At 53.1% G+C, this 22,430-nt stretch overlaps 1 protein-coding gene and 1 long non-coding RNA gene across 13 annotated transcripts in view, besides 4 other annotated features; one reads left to right on the top strand and one right to left on the bottom strand.

Annotated features, from left to right (window-relative positions):
* The window catches only part of RASGRF1 (Ras protein specific guanine nucleotide releasing factor 1), a 130,875-nt gene that overhangs the window by 78,306 nt on the left and 30,139 nt on the right, over positions 1-22,430 (top strand). For 4 of the 9 annotated variants that reach the window (XM_017022456.3, NM_002891.6, XM_017022457.3 and 1 more), the window contains 9 exons: positions 6,041-6,298; positions 8,300-8,673; positions 10,688-10,813; positions 12,562-12,732; positions 13,650-13,756; positions 14,267-14,379; positions 16,675-16,735; positions 20,681-20,784; positions 22,202-22,286. In XM_017022456.3, coding sequence (XP_016877945.1) covers positions 6,041-6,298; positions 8,300-8,673; positions 10,688-10,813; positions 12,562-12,732; positions 13,650-13,756; positions 14,267-14,379; positions 16,675-16,735; positions 20,681-20,784; positions 22,202-22,286 — 1,399 coding nt within the window. Of the gene's footprint in view, positions 1-6,040; positions 6,299-6,809; positions 7,759-7,898; positions 7,948-8,299; positions 8,674-10,687; positions 10,814-12,561; positions 12,733-13,649; positions 13,757-14,266; positions 14,380-16,674; positions 16,736-20,680; positions 20,785-22,201; positions 22,287-22,430 lie in introns of those variants that run through there. The other 5 variants (NM_001145648.3, XM_017022455.3, XM_017022458.3 and 2 more) reach the window with 3 other exon arrangements.
* LOC105370917 (uncharacterized) lies at positions 47-13,897 on the bottom strand. Of its 4 annotated transcripts, none has more exons than XR_932518.3 (3): positions 13,551-13,897; positions 6,494-6,628; positions 47-1,749 (listed from the first exon to the last, which is right to left on the bottom strand). It is a non-coding gene; the product is annotated as an uncharacterized LOC105370917 (long non-coding RNA). The 4 variants fall into 4 exon arrangements; XR_932517.4 differs by having other exon boundaries at positions 6,494-6,586; XR_001751624.2 differs by having other exon boundaries at positions 13,615-13,897.
* Positions 5,054-5,348: a silencer, noted in NCBI's record as "tiled region #5581; K562 Repressive DNase matched - State 12:CtcfO". NCBI's record gives its function as "represses a minimal TATA promoter and a strong SV40 promoter by Sharpr-MPRA in K562 cells {active_cell/tissue: K562}" and the evidence as "EXISTENCE:reporter gene assay evidence [ECO:0000049][PMID:27701403]".
* Positions 5,785-6,620: an enhancer, noted in NCBI's record as "H3K4me1 hESC enhancer chr15:79298197-79299032 (GRCh37/hg19 assembly coordinates)". NCBI's record gives its function as "activates a minimal SCP1, AML or CMV promoter by ChIP-STARR-seq in naive H9 embryonic stem cells {active_cell/tissue: H9 hESC(naive)}" and the evidence as "EXISTENCE:reporter gene assay evidence [ECO:0000049][PMID:30033119]".
* Positions 7,549-8,748: an enhancer, noted in NCBI's record as "MED14-independent group 3 enhancer chr15:79296069-79297268 (GRCh37/hg19 assembly coordinates)". NCBI's record gives its function as "activates an origin of replication core promoter dependent on BRD2, BRD4, P300/CBP and CDK7 cofactors, and independent of MED14, by STARR-seq in HCT116 cells {active_cell/tissue: HCT116}" and the evidence as "EXISTENCE:reporter gene assay evidence [ECO:0000049][PMID:35650434]".
* Positions 15,253-16,026: an enhancer, noted in NCBI's record as "H3K27ac-H3K4me1 hESC enhancer chr15:79288791-79289564 (GRCh37/hg19 assembly coordinates)". NCBI's record gives its function as "activates a minimal SCP1, AML or CMV promoter by ChIP-STARR-seq in primed H9 embryonic stem cells {active_cell/tissue: H9 hESC(primed)}" and the evidence as "EXISTENCE:reporter gene assay evidence [ECO:0000049][PMID:30033119]".

Genomic DNA, 22,430 nt, shown 5'->3' with positions numbered 1-22,430 from the left:
CTCGGGAAATTCATCGTTTAGTGAGAGAGAGAGAGACATAGAGAGATTATTAGAAAGCAGTGTAGTGCATGCTGTAAAATGGAATCTGTGTAATCCAGGCGAGGTCCAGAAGATGAGTGATAGATCTACCTGGCACAGTTGAGGATGGTTTCTTATGGAATGGGACATTAGAGCTGGCCTCGAAGGACCAGTTGGAGTTTGCTAGACGACTGAGGGGGAAGGGCATTCTGGGAAGAGGGAACAGCATGAACATAGGTTCGGAGGCAAAAAAGTGCACGGTGTTTGGGGAGAGTGCAGGGTCGAGGAGAGTGATGTCATGCAGGCAATGACCTTGATGCAATTGTGGCCTCCAGGTACACTACCAGACAAACTATTCTAGAGGCTTTGGAACAGATTCATAGGCTAAGTTAAGATGCTTCATTACGGCATCTAATGTATCAATTTTTTTTTTTTTTCTTTGAGACAGGGTCTCGCTCTGTCACCCAGGCTGGAGTGCAGTCGTGTGATCTCGGCTCACTGCAGCCTCTACTTCCTGGGCTCAAGTGTTCCTCCCACCTCAGCCTCCCAAGTAGCTGGGACTACAGGCGTGCACCACCACACCTGGCTAATAGTGTATCAATTACAAACACATAGCAAGACACCAGGGAAAGGCGATGAGATAGCTGGTTAGGCTAGTGTGTGTGCAGATGGGAGGACCACACTGCCTGCATCCTGCTGACACAGTGTTTCTTTGTGCCACCTCTCTCCCTGCCACATCAGCCTTCACTGCTGATGGAGTGAAGTTTGAACCAAGGAGCCCATGCAATGGAAAGCACTTGGGCCAATGGCACAGAATTGCCCTCTCTCTGGTATAGGGACGAGTGCCTGGCCACAGCTGTAGCCGTCAGTTCACCTGGAGAACAGCTACACCTTTCTCTGCATTTCTTGGGCAGGGGACACAGAGGGTCAGAATAGCCATTGCCAATGGGTGGCTGACTTAAGACCTAATAAATATTGAATGTTCCATATGCCTCATGAATATTAAGCATAGCATCAATATTTGGCTATTTAGTGCCATTGGTCCCTCTGTCCCTTCCTATGTTCAGCATGTAGGTGCTCTCCTTGGTATACTGTGTCTAGTATAAATCTTCTGTACTTAGCTTCATCTGTCTTCCTTATTTAATTCTCTTATTTTTATGGCCCAATTTGACTTTCTTAAATAATACAGCGATCCACATGACATAGTGAAAGATGGGGCTGGCGGTGGGCAAGGGTCAGATCACGGTAACGCGACCGGCAAGGAGTGGGGCTTTATTCTGTAGGTGATAGGGCCAAACCCAGGGGAGTGGCAGGCTCCCCACTGCCAGCCACTCTTATGGGGAGAATGGGGAGCGGATAGCCTAGCTGGAGAAAGGTGCAGGGGTGATAGGTGGGAAGTGGGGGGTATTCCTTCCATATGTCTCCCAAAACGTGCTGAGTTTCTGGCACAGTTCCCTGCTCTCAGACTGAGTCAAGAGCATCCTGATTTTGGGTTTGCAAGACAAAGGTATACGCCCCACGTGTCCCGAGTACTCCCACCAGCCCCTAACATGATGCATCCAGGCCTTCCCGCAGCAGCTCTGTGGATGGATGTAGCGGTCAGCGTCTCAGGTCAGCCACCAGCAACCCAAAACTGAAAAGTCTCCTTCCACCTGCCAGGCTCCTGGGGCTGAGGCCCTGCCCCAACATGTGGCCTCAAGAGCAGGTAGACTCAAGGTGGGGGCACTCTCCCTGGGAAAAAAGAAAGAGAAAGTCCTTTACCCTTCAGGCAAGGCCTGTCATTGATGCCTGGGAGATAGGAATACCACTTGGAGCATTCATCAAGAAGTGTTGAAAGATCAGAGAGAAGCAAATCTGAATTTCCACTGAGAAAATGTTCACATTGTAAGGCACTGAATACACTTTCTAGCAGGGATAGCAAGTATCTGGCACTCAAGCCAGTCATCTCCCATCCAGAGCCCCTGGCAGACATTGCTAATGGATCACAGCACTCTCTTGTGTTGAGTCTGGAAGCACAGCTCTGGGCCACTGCTACCAGTCTGCCTACTTTAATGCACTCTCCCATTTTGCAGACAGGGAAGCTGAAGTGCAGGATAGTTCTACAGAATATTGGAAATATTGCCGGGTGCAGTGACTCAAGCCTGTAATCCCGGCACTTTGGGAGGCTGAGGCAGGCAGATCAATTGAGGTCAGGAGGTCGAGGCCAGCCTGGCCAACACAGTGAAACCCCATCTCTACTAAAAATACAAAAAATTAGCTGGTCATTGTGGTGCATGCCTGTAATCCCAGCTACTCAGGAGTCTGAGGCAGGAGAATCGCTTGAGCCCGAGGTGGAGGTTGCCATGAGCCGACATTGCGCCACTGCCCTCCAGACTGGGCGACAGAGTGGGTGAGACTCTGTCTCAAAAGAAAAAAAAAAAAAAACAAACAAAGAGGCTGGGTGCAGTGGCTCACTCCTGTAATCCCAGCACTTTGGGAGGCCAAGGTGGGCAGATCACAAGGTCAGGAGTTCCAGACCAGCCTGGGCAACACAGTGAAACCCCGTCTCTACTAAAACACAAAAAATTAGCTGGGTGTGGTGGTGGGCACCTGTAATCCCAGCTACTCAGGAGGCTGAGGCAGGAGAATCACTTGAACCCGGGAGGCGGAGGTTGCAGTGAGCCAAGATCGCACCACTGCACTCCAGCCTGGGCAACAGAGCGGGAGTCCATCTCAATTAAAAAGAAAAAAAAAAAAGAATATTGGAATTGCCAGAGGCACTGGAACCAACAGTGATTGTGAGGTTTAAAACAGAAAAGGAAAGGAAAAGGAAGGAGTAGAGAATGCAGGGGCTTTTCTTCACTTTCTCTTCCCCTTCCGGTGGCAGGAGCCCACAGAGAAGGTGCTAGAAGCAAACCCTTGCCAGAGGGGTCAGATGATCCCTATTTGGATGCCAGGTCTGGGCTGGATGCTTTGGGATCCGTGACATGGGAGTAGCTGTACTCTCCCTCTGAAACATGCAGCCCAGTGGGAATGACTTGGCTTCATTTGAGAGACAGTTACTGAGCCCCTTCAGCCTCCAGGGCTGGACGTAGCCCTTACTCGATGTTGCTGTCCCAGGCACTTCCTCCAGCCCAGTATTTCTTTTATTATTGCTTCTTCACAGTTTCTCACCTTCCTTTTGAGACTTTTAGTGTTGACTAAAGGAAAAATGATCAACTTTTAAAGAATTCAGGTTTGTTTTCTTCAGAAGCCTTCCTGAGGACTGTAGACGGAGGCCAGCAGCCCGGGAGCCACCCTTCTGTGAGGTCCTATCAGATATCAGCACAGTGTTTCAGCCCACTGCTTAAATGCAGGTGGGGGGCTCAGCACCTGCAGAATCACATCAGACTTGCTGAGAAGTGACACTGAAGCAGAATCACATCAAGGTTTGGGCCTGAGAGTGCGTCTGGTTAGAGATGACAGAGGTGTCATCACTAACCTTATCAGACGTCATATTATGTTTGGGAAAGGCAAAGACGAGGGTCATTTATCTTGTAGGGAGAATAGAGACTCAGGCAAGAGACCTGGGAGGCCATGTGCTCTGGCCTGCTTTGTCCTCAAAGCATCTTTCCGGAGCGCTGCACATCGTCACGGAGTCAGGGGCCTTGTGGAGTCATGCCAGCAAGCAGAAATGAGCAGGCGTGGCTTCTCTCGTTTGCTACTTTGTCTCACGGTAGTGAGAGGTCCCCTCTCTGTCCACTCTGTGTTGCTTCCATTTTCTGTCATTTCAACCTCTTTGTCCTTCTCTGAGTTCTAGGGGACTTTCTCAAATGTGTTTAATAGACCACTCAGATTTTCTGAGTGTCCGATCTGCCATTTGCTGCATCCGTCCCAGCCTTCAATTTAGCACTCTTGTTTTTCATGTCCAGGAAATCCTTCTGACCTTGGATTACTCCCTCTTCATGGTTGCTTCTCAAGGTCCCATAGATGCAGTGTATACTTTCCTGAATCTTGGTGGAAACCAAATCAGGAGTTTTCTAAAATGTTTTGTGTCTTGCAGCAAAGCTAACTTAGAAGGCAGCATTTCCTCGGTTTCTTTGGAATGCTCTCTTTTTGAACTGCAGTATCTTTACGGGCCCTGTGCTTTTCCCATATTGTTCTCATCCTAAAAAGAAATCCCACTGCCCTGCTCATTGAAGGCACTCGATAAAGTTTATTTATTTCAAATCCCAAGAATGCTTCCAAAGAAAAGTATTTAAGAAAGACAGTGTGAAAGGGATGCTATGTCCATTTGCTCACTTCCTCTGAGCACTATCTGCACTCCTAGGTAGAAGATACCCTCGAAAGAACAGGTGAGCCAGGTGCGGTGGCTCACGCCTGTAATCCCAGCACTCTGGGAGGCCAAGGCAGGTGGATCAAGAGGTCAAGAGTTTGAGACCAGCCTGGCCAACATGGTGAAACCCCATCTCTACTAAGAATACAAAAATTAGCTGGGCGTGGTGGCGCATGCCTGTAATCCCAGCTACTCGGGAGGCTGAGGCAGGAGAATCACTTGAATCGTGGAGGCAGAGGCACTCCAGCTTGGGTGACAGAGCAAGACTCCATCTCAAAAAACAGAAAAAAAAAAAAAGAAAAACTAGATAGTCTGGGCACAGTGGCTCACACCTGTCATCCCAGCACTTTGGGAGGCCAAGGCAGGAGGATTGCTTGAGCCCTGGAATTCGAGACCAGCCTGGGCAACATGGTGAAACCGTGTCTCTACCAAAAAATACAAAAATTAGCGAGGCATAGTGGCATGTACCTGTAATCCCAGCTACTGGGGAGGGTAAGGCAGGAGGATCACTTGAGCCCAGGAGAGCAAGGCTGCAGTGAGCCATGATCACACCACCGCACTGTACTCCAGCCTGAGCAAATGAGACCTTATCTCATTAAAAAAAAAAAAAAAAAAAACTAGATACGGCCATCAGCATGTAAGTAATAAGGACAAACAAAAAATAAAGAAGTAAATAAAAAGAAATGAGCACTATATTTGATTCTAAGATTCTTGGTAGTCAAAACAAAAAGTAAAACATGATTACAAAGACTCACAACATCCAAAAAATGAAAACCCAGAGTTGCCCAAGAGTCCTAATAGCTCCCATTGGATGACCAATAAAAGACGATTCCAGTGGCGTAAGCACCAGAGGGCGCTGTGTGGTACAGCAGCCTTCAGGGCCACTGGTTCCCACTATGCCCTGTAGAGGCTGCTGACCTCAAGTTCACAAGCAGCTGAAACAAGACCCCTGCAAGTTCACCCCATCTTAGCCCCTTTGTTCTGGCTAACTGCACTGGACACCTGTCCTTACATCTTGACAGCTGCTAGCAGATCAAATAGACCACATTTTGTTTTTCCATGTATCAGCTGATGGACACCTGGGTAGTTTCCACTTTGGGGCTATTACAAATAATGCTGCTAAGAACATTCATGTACACATATTTTTTTTTGAGGCAGAGTCTCGCTGTGTCACCCAGGCTGGAGGGCAGTGTCACAGTCTCGGCTCACTGCAACCTCCATCTCCAGGGTTCAAGCGATTCTTGTGCCTCAGCCTCCCTAGTAACTGGTATTACAGGTATGGGCCACCACACCTAGCTAACTTTTGTATTTTTAAGAGAGACAGGGTTTCGCCATGTTGCCCAGGCTGGTCTTGAGCTCCTGACCTCAAGTGATCCTCCCACCTCAGCCTCCCAAAGTGCTGGGATTACAGGCGTGAGCCACTGCACCCCATCCACATACACATTTGTGTAAACAGAGTTCCTTACGTCTTGTGAACTCAACAACAAATGTTTTTAAATTTGTAATACTTCTCCAGTATTTCTAGGGGTTTTATAATGGAGAGTTTTTAGGATATTGGGAAAAAGAAGTTGTAGCCCTCCTTCAGTGTCATCCTTCCCAAGCTTGTTCTCTTAATAAGACCATCCTGTGTTGTCAGTGTGTGGGGGAAGCAGTGATGAGCAGGCCTGGTGGGTGCCATTCAGATGCCTTTAGACCCACATCACCTCTGCATCCTTCCTCCCCTCTCAGGTCCGACGCCTCCTTATATTGTGATGATGTTGACATTCGCTTCAGCAAAACCATGAACTCCTGCAAAGTGCTGCAGATCCGCTACGCCAGTGTGGAGCGGCTGCTGGAGAGGCTGACGGACCTGCGCTTCCTGAGCATCGACTTCCTCAACACCTTCCTGCACTCCTACCGCGTCTTCACCACCGCCATCGTGGTCCTGGACAAGCTCATTACCATCTACAAGAAGCCTATCAGTGCCATTCCTGCCAGGTGGCTGAGGTGCCCTCCTCCTCCCATGCCCGGAGAGCTTCCAAGCCTTGGAGGAAAACTGAGCTTGCACGGGGCCGGGGGGTGACCTGGAAGGTCCCTGGAGGAGCAGCAGTAACGTGTTGGGGTGCTGCGGGACACACACCGCCACTGCCCCCTCTCCCCAGGAACCAAGCCTCCCTCTGCAGAGAGGCAGGGACAGCTCACCTGCCTGGTGCTACTGCTCAGTCTCAGCTGCTTCCATCTCCACCTGCCAGGATCCTGGGGTGTGGAGGGTGCTCTCACCTCTTAGCCCCGCTCCTGGAAGCACAGGGTCCCACCGTCACCAAAGGACAGTGCTTCCTTTGGTGAAAAAAGAGAAAGGAAATGAGGAGGGGAAGGAGGACAGAAGGAGAGAGGGAGAGGGAGAAAGAAAAATAAAGGGAGAGAGGAAGGAAGGAAGGGAGGGAGGGAGGGAGGGAGGGAGGGAGAAAGGACTCTTACCCCTGCTTTGCTTAGACCACCTCCTACTCTAAGAAATGATGGAGCCCTTTTTGGCCTACTTGGGGTGAGTCAACATAAGGAGTGCAGGCCACCTTAGCCTTTGCTTCTCAAAAGTCATGGGGCAATGAAGGACTTGGCCAAGGCTGTCCAGCAGTAGGCCAAGTTCAGGGATTGGCTCAGGCCCCTAATGGACTTCACTGCATCCAGGAATGGTAGGTGATTATCTTTTCCGAGAGGCCACCTACCCAGATCCCAGTTGTGGACAGCCCATCCCAGCCCTCAGAGGCTCAGAGGCTCTCTGAGTGCCCTGCCCCAAAACACCCTAGGCAAGACATTATGCCAGAGCCTCAGCTCTAGGGCTGCCTGGAGCAGAGCTCCTGAATCACACTGGCTCCCCAGGGCTCCCCAGGAACCTCACCATTCCTCCCCCAATCCACACCTCTGCTGCCAGAGCAACGCAACGACCCAGAATACACCCGTTCCCTCTTCTGTTCCCTCCTCCTGCCCCCACCTCAGGCCTCACTGGGGCAGGGTACATCTTGCCTCTCTGCCCTGAACTTCTGAAACCTCAATGATCAGATTCCCAGGGCTCTGAGAAAACAGAAGCAAACATCCCATCCAGGATGGATTTACCCCCTAAAAGTCACTGAGATCATTCCCAGGGGCCCAGCAGACAGTGTCCTTCCTTTCCCAGCAGCAGTGCCCTGCAGAACAAAGAGGCTGGTTCAGAGCCAGCTCTCAGCCCTATGGCCTTGGCTGAGTCCCTTAACCTTTCTGAGACTCAGTTTCCTACCTGTGACATTCCTGCAGTTATCCTGTAGGAATAAGAGTGCCTACGTCCTGGGGCAACAGTGAGGGTTAAAAGATCAATCCTATCCTGTGTGCAACGTGGAGCAGACAGCCTCGATGAGACAAGCTATGGTTTGCAATGTTCTGGATGTATAACCTGTTTCCAGCCTGGCCTGAGGTGGAACCCTGTCATGAGGATGGTAGGGGCCACTTTCAGCTTCCCATCCCCCTAAGTTTGCATATAGGGCCGCTCAAGCCCCAAAGCAGGTGGAAAGGACCCTGCGTTTAGAGTAGGAGGCATCAGATGAGTCATTTCCTGTCTCTGAGCCTCAGCTTCCTCATTCCACAAAACATGCCTGAGGACCTCTCTAAGGATGAGGCCAGAGAGTGTAGGCGGGAGCAGGCCCTGTGTGGGATGGAGGGGGGTTTTGCACAGTCCGCAGCTCAGGGGACCCTTAGCACTTCAGGTCAGATGCTGCAGCTGCTGCCCTGAGGGGGTGGGGGGGCGGAGCATAGAAGCCCCAGATCCTCTGCCCAAACCATCCAGAGCAGGACCCTTGGCCCCAGGCCATTTAATCGCATTGTCCCTGCTCAGAGGATCAGCTCAAGTATGGGTTTCAGGGATCCTAAGAATGATGGAGCCGTTGCTGCCACTCCGAGCCCCACCGGAGACGGCCCCCAGGCCTAGGCGGGCAGGCAGGCCTACGCTAACTGTCATTTTCACCCCCGCCCTCCCCACAGGTCGCTGGAGCTCCTGTTTGCCAGTGGCCAGAACAATAAGCTCCTGTACGGTGAACCCCCCAAGTCCCCGCGCGCCACCCGCAAGTTCTCCTCGCCGCCACCTCTGTCCATCACCAAGACATCGTCACCGAGCCGCCGGCGGAAGCTCTCCCTGAACATCCCCATCATCACTGGCGGCAAGGCCCTGGACCTGGCCGCCCTCAGCTGCAACTCCAATGGCTACACCAGCATGTACTCGGCCATGTCACCCTTCAGCAAGGCCACGCTGGACACCAGCAAGCTCTATGTGTCCAGCAGCTTCACCAACAAGATTCCAGATGAGGGCGATACGACCCCTGAGAAGCCCGAAGACCCTTCAGCGCTCAGCAAGCAGAGTGAGTGGCCATGCCGTCGGAGCTGCCCCCCAGCCTCCCAGCCCCACTGAGGCTCAGCCTGGCCCAGCAAGGCCTCAGGGCTGCTCTTCCTGCTCCCATGGGGAAGGAAGGGAGAGGCTTGGGGGTCCCACCAGGCAGATAGTGGAGGCAGCACAGAGTCTGGGCGGTGCAGAGAGGTAGCCGTATGTGGGAGCCCAGGCTGCGGGGGGAGGCAGGCAGAAATTCCCAGGGCATCGCCACACTTTAGATGAGTCAGTTCCCATCACGAGCAATTTAGGCATCCCTCTGCCCTGACCACAGCATCCTACGGCATCCCTGTGTTTGTCCATGTCTGCAGAGGACAGGGCCTGGGCCAGGCCCATTCAGGGCCCGGGAGAGAAGAGGTCGTCAGCAGCTCCTGCCCCCTGGGATTCAGTCTGGCTGAGGACCCAGACCAGACACTGAAATGTGGACACCTGATACGAATGGCTTGTGTCAGGAGGATGCTCCAGGGGCACAGAGGTTGGGGTGGGAACACCATTAGGAGCGTCATAGAAGGCTTCCCGGAAGAACTGTTCGATCTCAATTTTTACCAAGAGGAAAGGAGAACATTCTAGACCATGGGAACAGGATGGGAATGACTGAGGAGCAAGAAAAGGCCTTGTGTGTTTCGGGGACAGCTGGACGCCAGGCAGACCTGGAATGCTGAGTGTGAGACAGGCTGGAGATGATTCCAGGACAGGCTGGAGCCTCCCTACTCTCAGGGTTTCTCCTGACTGTTCTAAAAGTGTCAGGTCTGGTTCTGATTTAGATCCGAACAGGCCACATCTTGGGTGCCACAAGCATTGTCTCGGTTAGCACATGAGAGCACGTGCACACACGCACGCACCCACGTGCAACCAGGGGCTGGTCAGACGCCCCAGGCTTTGAGGAGGAGGCCTTTGAAGAGGGAAGGATTTCTCTCCTCTGAGCTGGCAAGAGGGAAGGCAGAGGGCACCCCCAGCAGAGGGCACAGCTGGGGCAAGATAAATCCTCCGCCAGGCTCCATACCAAGTAACACTCACCGTGGCACATGCAGTTAATGGGTGATGCATGCAGCTGAAAGTCAGTCACCAAGGAAATGGCCTGCCAGAAATTTCATAATTTCACATTCTGAAATGTAACGCAAGGCAGTCCTGAGAAGTCATCTGGTACCAGGCTTCTTGACTGGTGATCCAGGAGCCCATGAATCTAATTATGTGCCAAACTGTGTGTGTGTGTATATGTGTGTGTATGTGTATTTGTTATGTATAAATGTGTGTGCGTGTGCATGTGCCTGTGGACATTCTTGTCTAAAGAGAAGACCTGTGGCTTTGTGTTCTCAAGGTCAGATGCAACTACATCCACTTTCTACGTGGGTAAACTGAGGCCCAGAGCAGTTAAGAGTTTCTGACCAAGACCTCACTGTGCCAGACCTAGGCTTTTAATATAATTCATCAGCCTCCCCAGGGTGTGTGGACCAGGAGTCTCCCAAGATTAGGAAGCCTCTATAATTAATTATCCAAGACAGGACATTTTAAGAGTGACCAGGGGCACGCGGCAATAGGTTAAAAGCAGAGGAAAACTGGAGCAGATGGTCACCTTAACTAATAAGCTTCACCAAAAAAAAAAAGAGAGATCGTGTAACTCAAAGTGTGGTCCGTGGACCAACCACATGGCCATCACCTGGAACCTGTTAGAAATGCAGACTCTCAGGCCCTGCCTGAGACCCCTGAATCAGAATTTGCATTCTGACAAGATCCCCAGGTGTGTCTGGTAAGGTTTGAGAAGCCCTGGTGGAGCAAAAGCCACCTTGGAGATCGACAGTGCTCATTAGCAAGAGAAAGGTTCTGATGAGTCCTGCGGGAAACAAAGCTGTTAAACTTTCTTCAGTGGCTGTATCCCAAGTTTACTCTGTTTTGCCTCAGTAAATTATAGACATAAATTTTAAAATCAAATATTTAAATTTTAAAATTAAAATTAAGAAAAGTAAAATTATTTATTTCTTTTCTCCCAGGCTCAGAAGTCTCCATGAGAGAGGAGTCAGATATTGATCAAAACCAGAGTGATGATGGTGATACTGAAACATCACCAACTAAATCTCCAACAACACCCAAATCAGTCAAAAACAAAAATTCTTCAGGTACAATGCACCAATTCAAAACCACAAATAGATTTCCAGTTTGGGAGAGGGCAGTAGGTCAAGTCGAGTCAAGGCAAGTGGGTGTCATCCCTTATGCTTTATGAGTGACTCCTAAGAGCAGTAACTTTTCTGATATTTCATAACCCACCCACCACCACCCGCCCCCCGCCACCCCAAGGGAAGGGGCTGTGGGCACTGGAACATTGGCTGGGTAGATCCTGCTCTTCAACTCAACCAAGTCACTCTCCCAACTTCAGACAAGACTGCCTTGAGCCCACCCAGCACAGGTGGGCAGGGAGGCTCAGCATCTAGGGCTCATTCGTGGAAGATCCTGATTCAGAAGGTGCTTCCTGAACCCCAGCACAGGTGGGCAGGGAGGCTCAGCATCTAGGGCTCATTCATGGAAGATCCTGGTTCAGAAGGTGCTTCCTGAACTGAGTGCCAGGCTCTGCACAGACCCCTTTCATCATCTTGACAGCTTTGCAAAAAGGCTAGGTGTTTCAAATAAGGGGAAAGACTCCAAGAGGCGGTGACATTGCTCACCCGCAGTCCCAGACTCCTGATCCTGAAGGATCCTTGAGAAGCAGTCTTGGTCTCCGGTTTTCATAAAGCCCTTTCCCCTATACAAGGGGGCTGTGAGATACCCAATGGTGAGAGAGAGCTCCCAGGGGACCCACCTCCCAGGCAGCCCCTCCCCACACAGCTTTCTCCAATGTCCCTGCTCTCACATGCAAAGGGCCGCCTGCAGCCTGAACTCCCCACTATCCAGGCTTTCAAAAGGAACCCAATAGGTAACAGGGTCACCGAGCTTTAGAGAGAAACTGCCTGGACATACTGCAGCCCTGCCACAGCTGCTCAGACACACAGAAACAGAGCTCATGGAGAGCCAAATTTCAGAAATAAGCTTTGAGTCCTTAAAATAAATCATATGTGCCTCACAGCATTAAATACTGCTATTTTGTCTTCAGTAGTCTGGATTGCTTTCCAGAGACAAGATGAAACCAAAGGTTTCAAGAGTAGGTTTCTCCTATCATTACTACTAAAAATTATGATTATTATTATTATTACTAATAGCAATGATATTCCATGGCATTTATATAGCTTTTCACCTAACACAAAGTACTTTCATCTATGTTATTGCCTTTAATCTTTATATCCACCTTTTGAAGCTTTATCCCTATTATTCAAAGGAGACTACTGAAACCCAGAGGGGTTAAATGACTTACCCAAGGTCACACAGCTAGTAGGGGGTAGGGGAGAATTTCAACTCAGGTGGCTGGACTCCAAGAGCCATCCTCTCTCCATCCCACTGTGCCCACGAGCCCATCAGTATGAATTGTTATGGATGTCAGACATTGGACAGGTTATGTGTTAATCCCAAGTAGACTGAGAGGGTAAGAAAACTCATGATGCTGCCCTCAGGCAGGCCTGTGCCCTGCTGGACCTGAGAGGTGAAGGGGTTGAGAGCTGCAGAAAGATGGACGGGGTGACTGGAGACCTTTTTCAGAAGCAGGAGTGTGCTCCCCAACCTGGGACAGCCCTGAGGGTGTTGTGGTGTGACTCTCCCCAGAGCTTCTAACACAGAGAGAGACACACACACACACCAGCACCACCCGACATGCCCTGGTACCCTGAAGACACAGCCTGCTGGCTCTTAAGGCTGCTCTAGCCTCGGGACCCCTGGTTTTCTAACAGCCTGAGGAGTTGGGACTGGGGACAGCTGAGGGTTGGTTCCCTCCTCTCTGCAGAGTTCCCACTCTTTTCCTATAACAATGGAGTCGTCATGACCTCCTGTCGTGAACTGGACAATAACCGCAGTGCCTTGTCGGCCGCCTCTGCCTTTGCCATAGCAACCGCCGGGGCCAACGAGGGCACCCCAAACAAGGAGAAGTACCGGAGGATGTCCTTAGCCAGTGCAGGTATGTGGGGTGTTCTCCACTCACAGGGTCCTCCCCATGGTCAGCCCCAGTGGCAGGTGATAGCAGCCATGGTCCCGGGGACTTGCTCTGCTGTGGGTGTTTAAGGTGTGCTAAGGATGGCACAGGTGGGTCCTGTTAAAGCACCCACCCTCGGGGAGCTCCCTGCTTCAATTGACTACAGTCACTCACTGGACACGAAGCTTCCTGAATCATTATTTTGGCTTGGGCACCGCCTTCCACTTGTGGAGGTGCTGGGTCACAACCCCCACCTCTCTGCACTGGTTGGGGCTCTGCACACACCCAGGGCCTGAACCCCACACCTAGAGCCAGGGCCACTGCACATCTAGGGCACAGCGTGCCCTGCACCCTCCTCTTCCAGCTGCCAGCTGAATGCCATCCATCCTTCCCCCAAACTTCCATCCTGCAGGCCTTTGCTAGTGCTGACCCTCCTGCCTGGAGGCCCCTTCCTTCCCACCCATCGCCCTTTGCTACTTGGCCAGCTTCTACTCGACATAAAGCCCATTGCCCATGGGAACCTCTGTCCCGCCATGCTCCCACCTCCCACTTCTGCATCCTTGATCCTGCAGCAGAGACTGGAATAGGGGCCCCTTTGAGCTCTGTTCCCTGGGGAGGCCCTGCGTGGCTCTGTCTTGGGAGGCTGCCTGAACCTTCCAGCAGCTCTTGAAAGATGGAGAGGTCTGGAAGAGGCTGGGCATGCATGGACCGTGTTGACTGAGGAGCCATGACATCTGTGCTATTGGTCAGACACTAGTTGTTAAACATGTTGTTATCCCCCTGCCCATGACCCCCTCACTCACCCCAGCTCAGCCAGATCCGAGAGGCAAATCCAGACTAGTGTCAAGCTCTGTTTCTTGTCCTCACCTGTCCTCTCTCCCCTCTGCCACGCATGCTGCCAGGGTTTCCCCCAGACCAGAGGAATGGAGACAAGGAGTTTGTGATCCGCAGAGCAGCCACCAATCGTGTCTTGAACGTGCTCCGCCACTGGGTGTCCAAGCACTCTCAGGTGGGTGGGAGCCCTCCCTGGGCAGGCTGCTGGGGACCACCAGGCAATGGCCCCAGGAACCAGCTGCCTTCCAAAAGCAGCTGCGGGCAGAGTGAGCTGATGGCTGGCAGTGGGGCAGCAGAAGGGAGGGAGCTCAAATGTGCCACCCTGATGTTCCCGGAGGACTGCTCAGATTCCCTAGGAGGGAACAAAGGACATGGAAGGGACAATGGGTCTCTGTCTATCCACCCTGCCTGTAGCAGGGGTACAGGTAGGTTTGTGCCTCCCTGGCCCAGGGGTGCAGCCAGCTGAAAGATGGGCTTTGATCTGGTTCCAGTGCCTTTATCTAAGATTCTCTAGGCCTGGAGAGCCTCTCATGCCCTGCCAGGAAGCCAACAGAAAGGAAATGAGGCAGGTCAGCCTGCCCTGGGCAGAATAGAAACTGGAGCTCCTTCCTCTGGCCTGGGCCCAGACCACTGCAGAGCAGCTCAAAAACAGTAACCAGAGCCACCCATCACACCTTCCCGGCAGGACTTTGAGACCAACGATGAGCTCAAATGCAAGGTGATCGGCTTCCTGGAAGAAGTCATGCACGACCCGGAGCTCCTGACCCAGGAGCGGAAGGCTGCAGCCAACATCATCAGGTAAAGGCAGTACCTGGTTCCTGGCTCAGAACTGCCTGCTGGGACAGGAGCCCTGCCTTCTGCCTCCATGTGGGCTGGTCAGAGGCCCGGGAGGTGAAGAGCGCCCTTGTCAAGGACAGCCCCAAGTAGGAGTGCTGGGGTAGAGGTGAGCTCTTGGGGGCAGGCTCAGGGCTGGGTAGTCTATTTGTCCTTCTTTCCTCTCTCCCCACCCTGCGCCAGACCTTGATCTCTTCAAAGCAAGAACCCAGCACACTTCTCCATGTGTGTCCACAGCTGCTAACCCCTGTCTAGCCTGTGCCATCCAATATGGTAGGCACTAGCTACATAAGGCTATTTAAATCTTTTTTTTTTTTTTTTTTGAGGCGAAGTCTCGCTCTTGTCACCCAGGCTAGAATGCAGTGATGTGATCTTGGCTCACTGTAACCTCCACCTCCCAGGTTCAAGAGATTCTCCTGCCTCAGCCTCCCCAGTAGCTGGGATTATAGGCACCTGCCACCACGCCCAGCTAATTTTTTTTGTATTTTTAGTAGAGACGGGGTTTCACCATGTTGGCCAGGCTGGTCTCAGTCTCCTGACCTCAGGCGATCTGCCCACCTCGGCCTCCCAAAGTGCTGGGATTACAGGCATGAGCCACTATGCCCGGCCTTGGCTATTTAAATCTTAATGAAAATTAAATAAAATTTAAAGTTCAGTTCCTCAGTGACATGAGCCCAGCAGCCTCAGCTTCACCCCCGACATGTGGCTAGCAGTCCCTGCATTGGACAGTACAGGGTGTAGGATGCTGCCATCACTGCAGAGATCTATTAAACAGTGCTGGCGAGGCCTGATTTGTAGGTGCTTGAGTGTCTGTTGAATTGAATTCAGTTAAGTTGTTTATCCCCAAACCCATGCTTGTCCTCTCCTGGTGGAGGTCAGGGTCAGGCAGCCCGATGTCTGAGATGCTCAGCCAGTGACTCATGTGACCTGGGCAAGTCCCCGCTCTGAGCCTCATCCATAAAATGGGTGAACAATACCCGCTTCAAGGCTGGGATGAGATCACGGGTGTCACTTTTACAGGCTGTTCAGTGGGTGGCGGGCACCTACCGACTCAGCCTGTCTGCTCCCAGCCCAGCCCAGGTGTGAGGGCTTGGGCCCTGGCCTTTCCTCCTCACCTCTTGCCTGGCCCCAGCCTCCCCAGACTTTCCCCCAAGTCCTGCCTGTGACCAGAGTGCCCAGACATCCTCCCCAGCCAGGCCGTGGAGGCCCCATGCTGGGGCCCATTCTTCCCTCAGGCTCACAGTCCTAAAATCTCTTTCAGGCCTCCACATCTTCAGTACAGAGGCCAGAGTGTGTGCACACATGCCCACACACACACACACGCACACACACACACAGCCGCCACTCGTGGTCCTCCCAGGAGGCCTTAGGAGTGTGTGGAGCCCCCCACCGAGCATATTGATCAAAGCCACCCTCGGAGGGGAGCCTGTTCCCTGGGTGTGATGAAAGAGCAGGCTCTGGAGTTGGCAGCCCTGGTTTGGAGCGTGGGCCCACCATGCTCCAGCTGCGGGACCCCAGGTGAGGCAGTTCCCTGAGGGGCCGTTTCCTCAGCTGTAAGATATACACGACAATGCCTTCTGCCAGGCTGATCCAGAGAGCCACTCCCCGCAGCCCCGGCAGGCCTGCAGACCCCTGGCTGTCCCCACGCAGCCCAGGCCTGGCTCTCCAGTGTCCGCAGCCTCCGTTGGTACTCACCAGCTGTGGCTCTGAGCCCATCACTGTGAGCGTGCGGCACTTTGGCCTGACTTTGAGGCTCTACCCTCATTCCCCACCGTGTGTACCACTCTCCTCTGCTCTCCCAATTCCATCCTTGCAGTCCCTCCTCTGGGCCTGTGGCTGCCATGCTGCTGCCTCCCCACTCCCTGTGCTTCCTTCCTGTCATGCATCCTGTCATCCATGTGCTCGCAGGAGCGCCTGCTGAATGTCCAGTCCTGTGCTGGCACCAGAGCTATGGGGCTGAATCAGACACCGTCCCTCCCTCAAGGGCTCCCTGCCTGAGGTGGCAGAAAGGCCATTCCCACCCAGCCAGATGCAGGAAGCCCAGGGGCTGAGAGGGCCCCAGAAGGGGACCTCCCACAGCCAGGAGCGCCAGGACCATCAGGAAGAAGAGTGAAGGAGGAAGGGGAAAGGGTGCTCCTGGCAATGGGGATGACGAGGACAGAGGGGCGTAAGAGCAGAGGCCGTGTGGGGCTGTCCGAGCTGGGGAGGGGCTGCTGCAACGTGAAGTGGGGCTCACCGTGCCTTCTCGCTCCTGCCTAGGACTCTGACCCAGGAGGACCCAGGTGACAACCAGATCACGCTGGAGGAGATCACGCAGATGGTGAGCTGGGCCTGCCCTCTTGCTTTCCAAGGCTTTCCTCCCCATCCTCCTGCCCAGGACCCCTGACCCATCACAGGCATCACCCGTATTCATTTTCTGTGGCTGTTGTGAAAAAATACCACAAACTGGGCGGCTTAAAACAACAGGAATGGGCTGAGCGCAGTGGCTCATGCCTGTAATCCCAGCACTTTGGGAGGCCAAGGTGGGCAGATCACCTGAGGTCAGGAGGTGGAGACCAGCCTGGCCAACATGGTAAAACCCCATTTCTACTAAAAATACAAAAATTAGCTAGGCGTGGTGGCAGGTGCCTGTAACCCCAGCTTCTCAGGAGACTGAGGCGGGAGAATCACTTAAACCCAGGAGGCGGAGGTGGCAGTGAGCCAAGATCCTCCACTGCACGCTCCAGCCTAGGTAACAGAGCGAGACTCCATCTCAAAAAAAAAAAAAAAGAAAGAAAAAAGAAATGTATTCTCTCATAGTTCTGGAGTCTGAAATTAAGATGTGAGAGGGAGGCCAGGCGTGGTGGCTCACACCTGTAATCCTAGCACTTTGGGAGGCTGAGGTGGGCAGATCACTTAAGGTCAGGAGTTCAAGATCAGCCTGGGCAACATGGTGAAACCCTGTCTCTACCAAAAATACAAAAAATTACCCGGGCATGGTGGCGCATGCCTGTGATCCCAGCTACTTGGGAGGTTGAAGTGGGAGGACTGCTTGAGCATAGGAGGGAGAGGTTGCAGTGAACTGAGATCGAGCCATTGCCCTCCAGCCTGGGTGACAGAGTGAGACCCCCATCTCAAAAAAAAAAAAAAAAAAGGTGCTGGAAGGGTTGTGCTCCCTCCGAAGCCTCAAGGGGAGGCCCCAGTGGTGGTATAAGAGCTGGTGTTCACACCCAGGTCTGGCTGACTCCAGAGCGACAACTCTCCCTCATTCCGTCTACCACACTGCCTCATCCCCAGAAGTTGGAGTGCAGCTCACCACCTGCCCAGAAATGATGGGACCCCAGAGACAGAGCTGTGCTCACCATGAACAAATCCAAGCTCATAGTGGCATTCCAGACGGAATAAGGGAATGATGGTCTTGTGCACTTCCAGGGTCCAGCTACAGCCCACTTTTTTCCAAGTCAGTGATGTGCACCCCAGAATGCCATCACAAGCCACCCCAGAGCCCTTGGCCCCTGCATCACAGCGGCTGGGGATACTCAAGACAGGCTCACTCTGACCACACCTTCCCCACCAGAGGCAGAGATTGTGCCATGCTGGCTCAGCCCCTTGCTGGTTGAGTGACCTTCAGTCTGTTGGAAGTAGCCAGCGTGAGGACTTGGGACTCTGGGTTCTGGGCCCCTGCTGCCCCTGCCCCTCCCATGTTCCCCTCCTGGTTCCTGGAAGTGGTGAGGGCACCTATGAAGCTGTAAGCACTCTGCCCACACTCTGCCCCCAGAGCAGTGCTGCAGGGCTGGGCCCCCAGGAACCCACACGTGGTCCACAGGCAGGGAGGTTGACGGTCCCCAGACCCTACTTCCTCCAGACTGACCCTTTGGGGCCAGAATGCTGGGTAAACCCCAAGACGGAAGTACTCCTCTCGGCAGCTGAAAGGAAGCCGACTGCACTCTGCTCCTGTTTCCCAACAGGGGCTCACCTGGAATGTTTACCCCTCAACAGCATGAGGGCCCCTTGTTCCTTCGTGAACAGCCTGAGGTTCTTCCAGAACAAACAGCTGCTGAGCTGCCCTCTCTTGTCCCCAGAGCCTGTGTGGGGCAGATCCGGGTTGAGAGGGCCCCGCGGCCTCACTAGAGACAGTGAGGATTTTCAAAAGCCTATAAAAGGTGGAGGAAGTTGTCAGTTTTGATCTCTGCTTCCAGGGTCACCCTCTTTCCCAGGCCACCCCAGAAGTGAGCGGAAGGAGCCAACCACCCCACCTTGGCCAGAATGCCTCTTCTGGCCTCTGGTACCAGTGCAGGCCTCTGGGCCCCACAGCGCCTGGGCCTCTGGGCCATAAGCCACCCAGCCCCTTGAGCTCACCCTTGGCCCTGGCAGTTCAGCCCAACCCCAGGGCACCAGGCAGGACCCTCAGATGGGAAGGTGGCTGGGCTGCCCACCTGTATTTATTCACTCAGCTGCTTCAGAGGCTGAGGGTCCCCTCCCTGTGAGCACACAGGGGATCCCCTGCCTGGGTTCTCTCACTACAACCCGGCATCCCAGTGGCCCTGCCACTCTCCTTTCTGTGTCCCCAAAGGCTTCATGTCCCCCAACACCCATGTTCCTGCACCTGGGTTTCTCTACACACCCTTCCCTGCCCAGGGCAGCTCTGCCAGGAAAAACTCACCGACAGCCACCACACAAACACACACACACACCCACACACACACACTACACACACCAAACACACACCACACACACATACACTACACACACCCAGCAAACATACCACACACACACCAGACCACACACACAGACACCACACACACACCACACACACCACACCACACACACCACGTACACACACACACATCACCCACACAGGCACACGCACACACACCACATACACACGCCACACCACACACACCACATACACACATCACCCACAGGCACACCACACACACACACACCCCACATACACATGCACACACCCCACACCACAAACACCCCATACACACCACCCACACACCACACACACCACCCACACACCACCCACATGGCACACACACACCACCCACACACCACCCACATGGCACACACACAGAGGCTGTTTTTCTCCACGGTCCTCGCTCCATTCACATGACTTGGAACCACTTAGGCTGGAGATCCCTGACGTCAGGAACCGTGTTTCCTGCCTTTCTATCTCAGCGTGTAGCAAGGGCCTTGGTGCAGACCTCAGTGCCCGTCTGTGGAGGAAATGGGAGGAAGGGAGACACTTAGTCTAGGAGGGATGGCCCCACTTCCCTTGGGACCCGGCAGATGGGCTGCTTGCAGGTGCTCAGCCCAGCCGGGACTTCTGGACAGGGTAAAGTGAGCATGGAAAAGTGAAGGCATGAGGCACACGAGACAGTCATCTCTCAGAGCACCTGCTGCCTGAGGGGTTGACCGCTCTCCTCCTGTGTGGCCCAGGTGGTCCTGAGGTGGTGATGGGGGAGGATTCTTGTTCCTAACAGGCTCCTCCCAAGACCAACACAGTTGTCCCTTTACCCACCGCCTTCCAGCATCCCTCACTCAGATCCAGCAGACCTTCCACGAGGCCTTTGTGCCCAATACACTGGCCTCCCTATGTCCACCACTCATCCATCTCCTGCCGTGGCCACCACTGTCCTCTGGCTAACGTTTCCCTGAAGATTTTCTCTGGTCGAAGGGCCCAAATAGTGGAATCCCTTAATGATGGTGTCCAAGGGTGGCCCCTGGGGGCCAGGGACACGGACTAAGGCCCAGGACTAAGGCAGGACAGCTGTCTTCTGAGCACAGGGCCATCCCAGGAGCTAATCACGCCTGGGAGTCCACACCTGCTAGTTTCAAAAGGAAATTGTATAGAGCCAGCTGTGGGCTCAGGCGGACGCTGAAGGGAGTGGCCAGGCACAGCCTGAAGTCAGACGACCTGGGCTCCAGTCCTAGTCAGCCCACTTCCAGCTTAGCAACTTGGGCCAGTGGCTCACCTCTGGAAGCCTCCATTGTCTCATGCACGTGCTGGGAGCTCCCTGGCAGGGTGGGTGAGGGCAGTCCGAGCACTGGGCTGCACACACCGGCACAACAGGGCGGGGCCCATCTCCCTCCGTCCCCTTCCCTCCACCTCCCCTCATCATACTCCATCCACCCTCTCATCAGATTCGAGGCAGCGTCATACCCCGTCCACCCGCCCACCCAATTCGAGGGCGAGATACCCCCACAGAGGCAGCTGGGAATCCAGGAGGTGTCCGTCATGGGCCTAACTCAAAATGTTGCTCCCCCAACTCAAAACCAGGCTGAAGGCGTGAAGGCTGAGCCCTTTGAAAACCACTCAGCCCTGGAGATCGCGGAGCAGCTGACCCTGCTAGATCACCTCGTCTTCAAGAAGATTCCTTATGAGTAAGTGTTGCAGGCACCACCCGCCTCCCCCCGCTTCCTCAGGCACTGTCTTGGACAGCACCCTGGAAGCACACGCAGTGAATTTCCAGAGCTGCACGGACCCTCCACAGCTTGAAACAATAGTGCCTGGGTCAGCAGAATGAGGGAGAGAAGCCTGTTCCCGTTCCTGCCCACCAAATTCTCTCCTTACCTGTCAGCTGCACACACACACTTTTCTGGAATCATCTCTAACTCAGAGCTCCTAGAAAGAGAGTATCTAGAAAAGAGCATGTGTTCATGTGTGTGTGCACATGTACCTGTGAGAAACTGTGCACACAGGCAAGAGCGTGGGCACGTGTGTAGGTCCAGTGACCTCCAGTAGCTGATTTAGGGGACAGGCGTGGACTTTGAAGAAGCCCCAAGGCCTGCTGTTACCTGTTCTGGCCTCAGTCATCCCTGGTGTTCACTGCAATTATTCTACTTATGTAATTTTCTATCCCTCTTCCTTCATCTGATGCTATGCCAAAAGGGCATTTGTAAACACTATTTTTAATAAGTACACAGCATTCTCTAACAGTGTGTTACTAAGCCACGAGAGTGTTTTCAGCCTTCACTTTTATATTTATCCCTGCGGTAAACATCCTTGCAACAAATATGTCTGAATTCCTAACAATGGTCCCAGAATGGTTTCCCAGAATTGGGCTCACCGGATTTGAATCATTGTGGGGCTTTTGGCCTCAGCCCCACCTGGCACTCTCGCAGCCCTCCCCAGCATGGGTGCTGCCTCGTGTAAATAGAGAGGGTCGGCACTTTGGAAACCTGTCACATCTCCTGGACATAGAAACAGATGATATTCCTGATATGTCCCTCTAGGAGGAGAAGCGGGATGTGTTTTCAAACACAAATCACCTCCCCGGCCCCTTCTGCCCACAGGACTCTGCCGAGGTCCCCTCTCCCTGTCACTTTATGATGTCAGGAGCCTGTGGCTTGGCTTGCAGGCTTTTTAAGCCTTTTATCTGCCCCCTTTTAGGGCCTTCTATTCCCTCATCCTACAGACCAGCTGCTGCAGTGACTAAAATGTGAATTCTCCCTGTCAGAAAACAAGATTCATAACAAATTATTTCCACCATGTGTGCCTTCCCACACCTTATTTCAGCCTCCCAGTAAACCTGTGAGGAAAGGATTGTCTTGATTCCCATTTTACAGATAAGGAAACTGAAGCCCTGAGCTATAAAGGGTTTGTCTGGGGCCACACAGCTGCGACAAGGCAGAGCTGGACTTGAGCCCAAGGTTCCTTCCTTCCAGGGCTCTGCAGAAGGTTGTTCCCCCAGAAATGACAGCCTCAAAAAGCCAAAAAATAAAATAAAAAGCATGGAGCAATGAAATCAGCAAGGCAAACCTCACCCCCTCCACCTGGGTCTCCCCTTACTTCCTACAGGGAGTTCTTCGGACAAGGATGGATGAAACTGGAAAAGAATGAAAGGACCCCTTATATCATGAAAACCACTAAGCACTTCAATGACGTGAGTATGGATGGGAGCGCCTCTCTCACTGGGGTTTTTCTTTGGCAAGACGCTCAAGAGGCTGGGTAGAGAACGGGCTATACACCTGGCTGGAACCAGACTCCTGGGTCCTCTCCAGCCCTGCCACCCCTTGCCATGTGGCCT

The sequence above is a fragment of the Homo sapiens genome, chromosome 15, assembly GCF_000001405.40.
Source record: "Homo sapiens chromosome 15, GRCh38.p14 Primary Assembly".
NCBI classification, from domain to species: Eukaryota; Metazoa; Chordata; class Mammalia; order Primates; family Hominidae; genus Homo; species Homo sapiens.
Note: the sequence above shows the minus strand (reverse complement) of the source record. Positions and strands in the feature narration are given on the sequence as shown.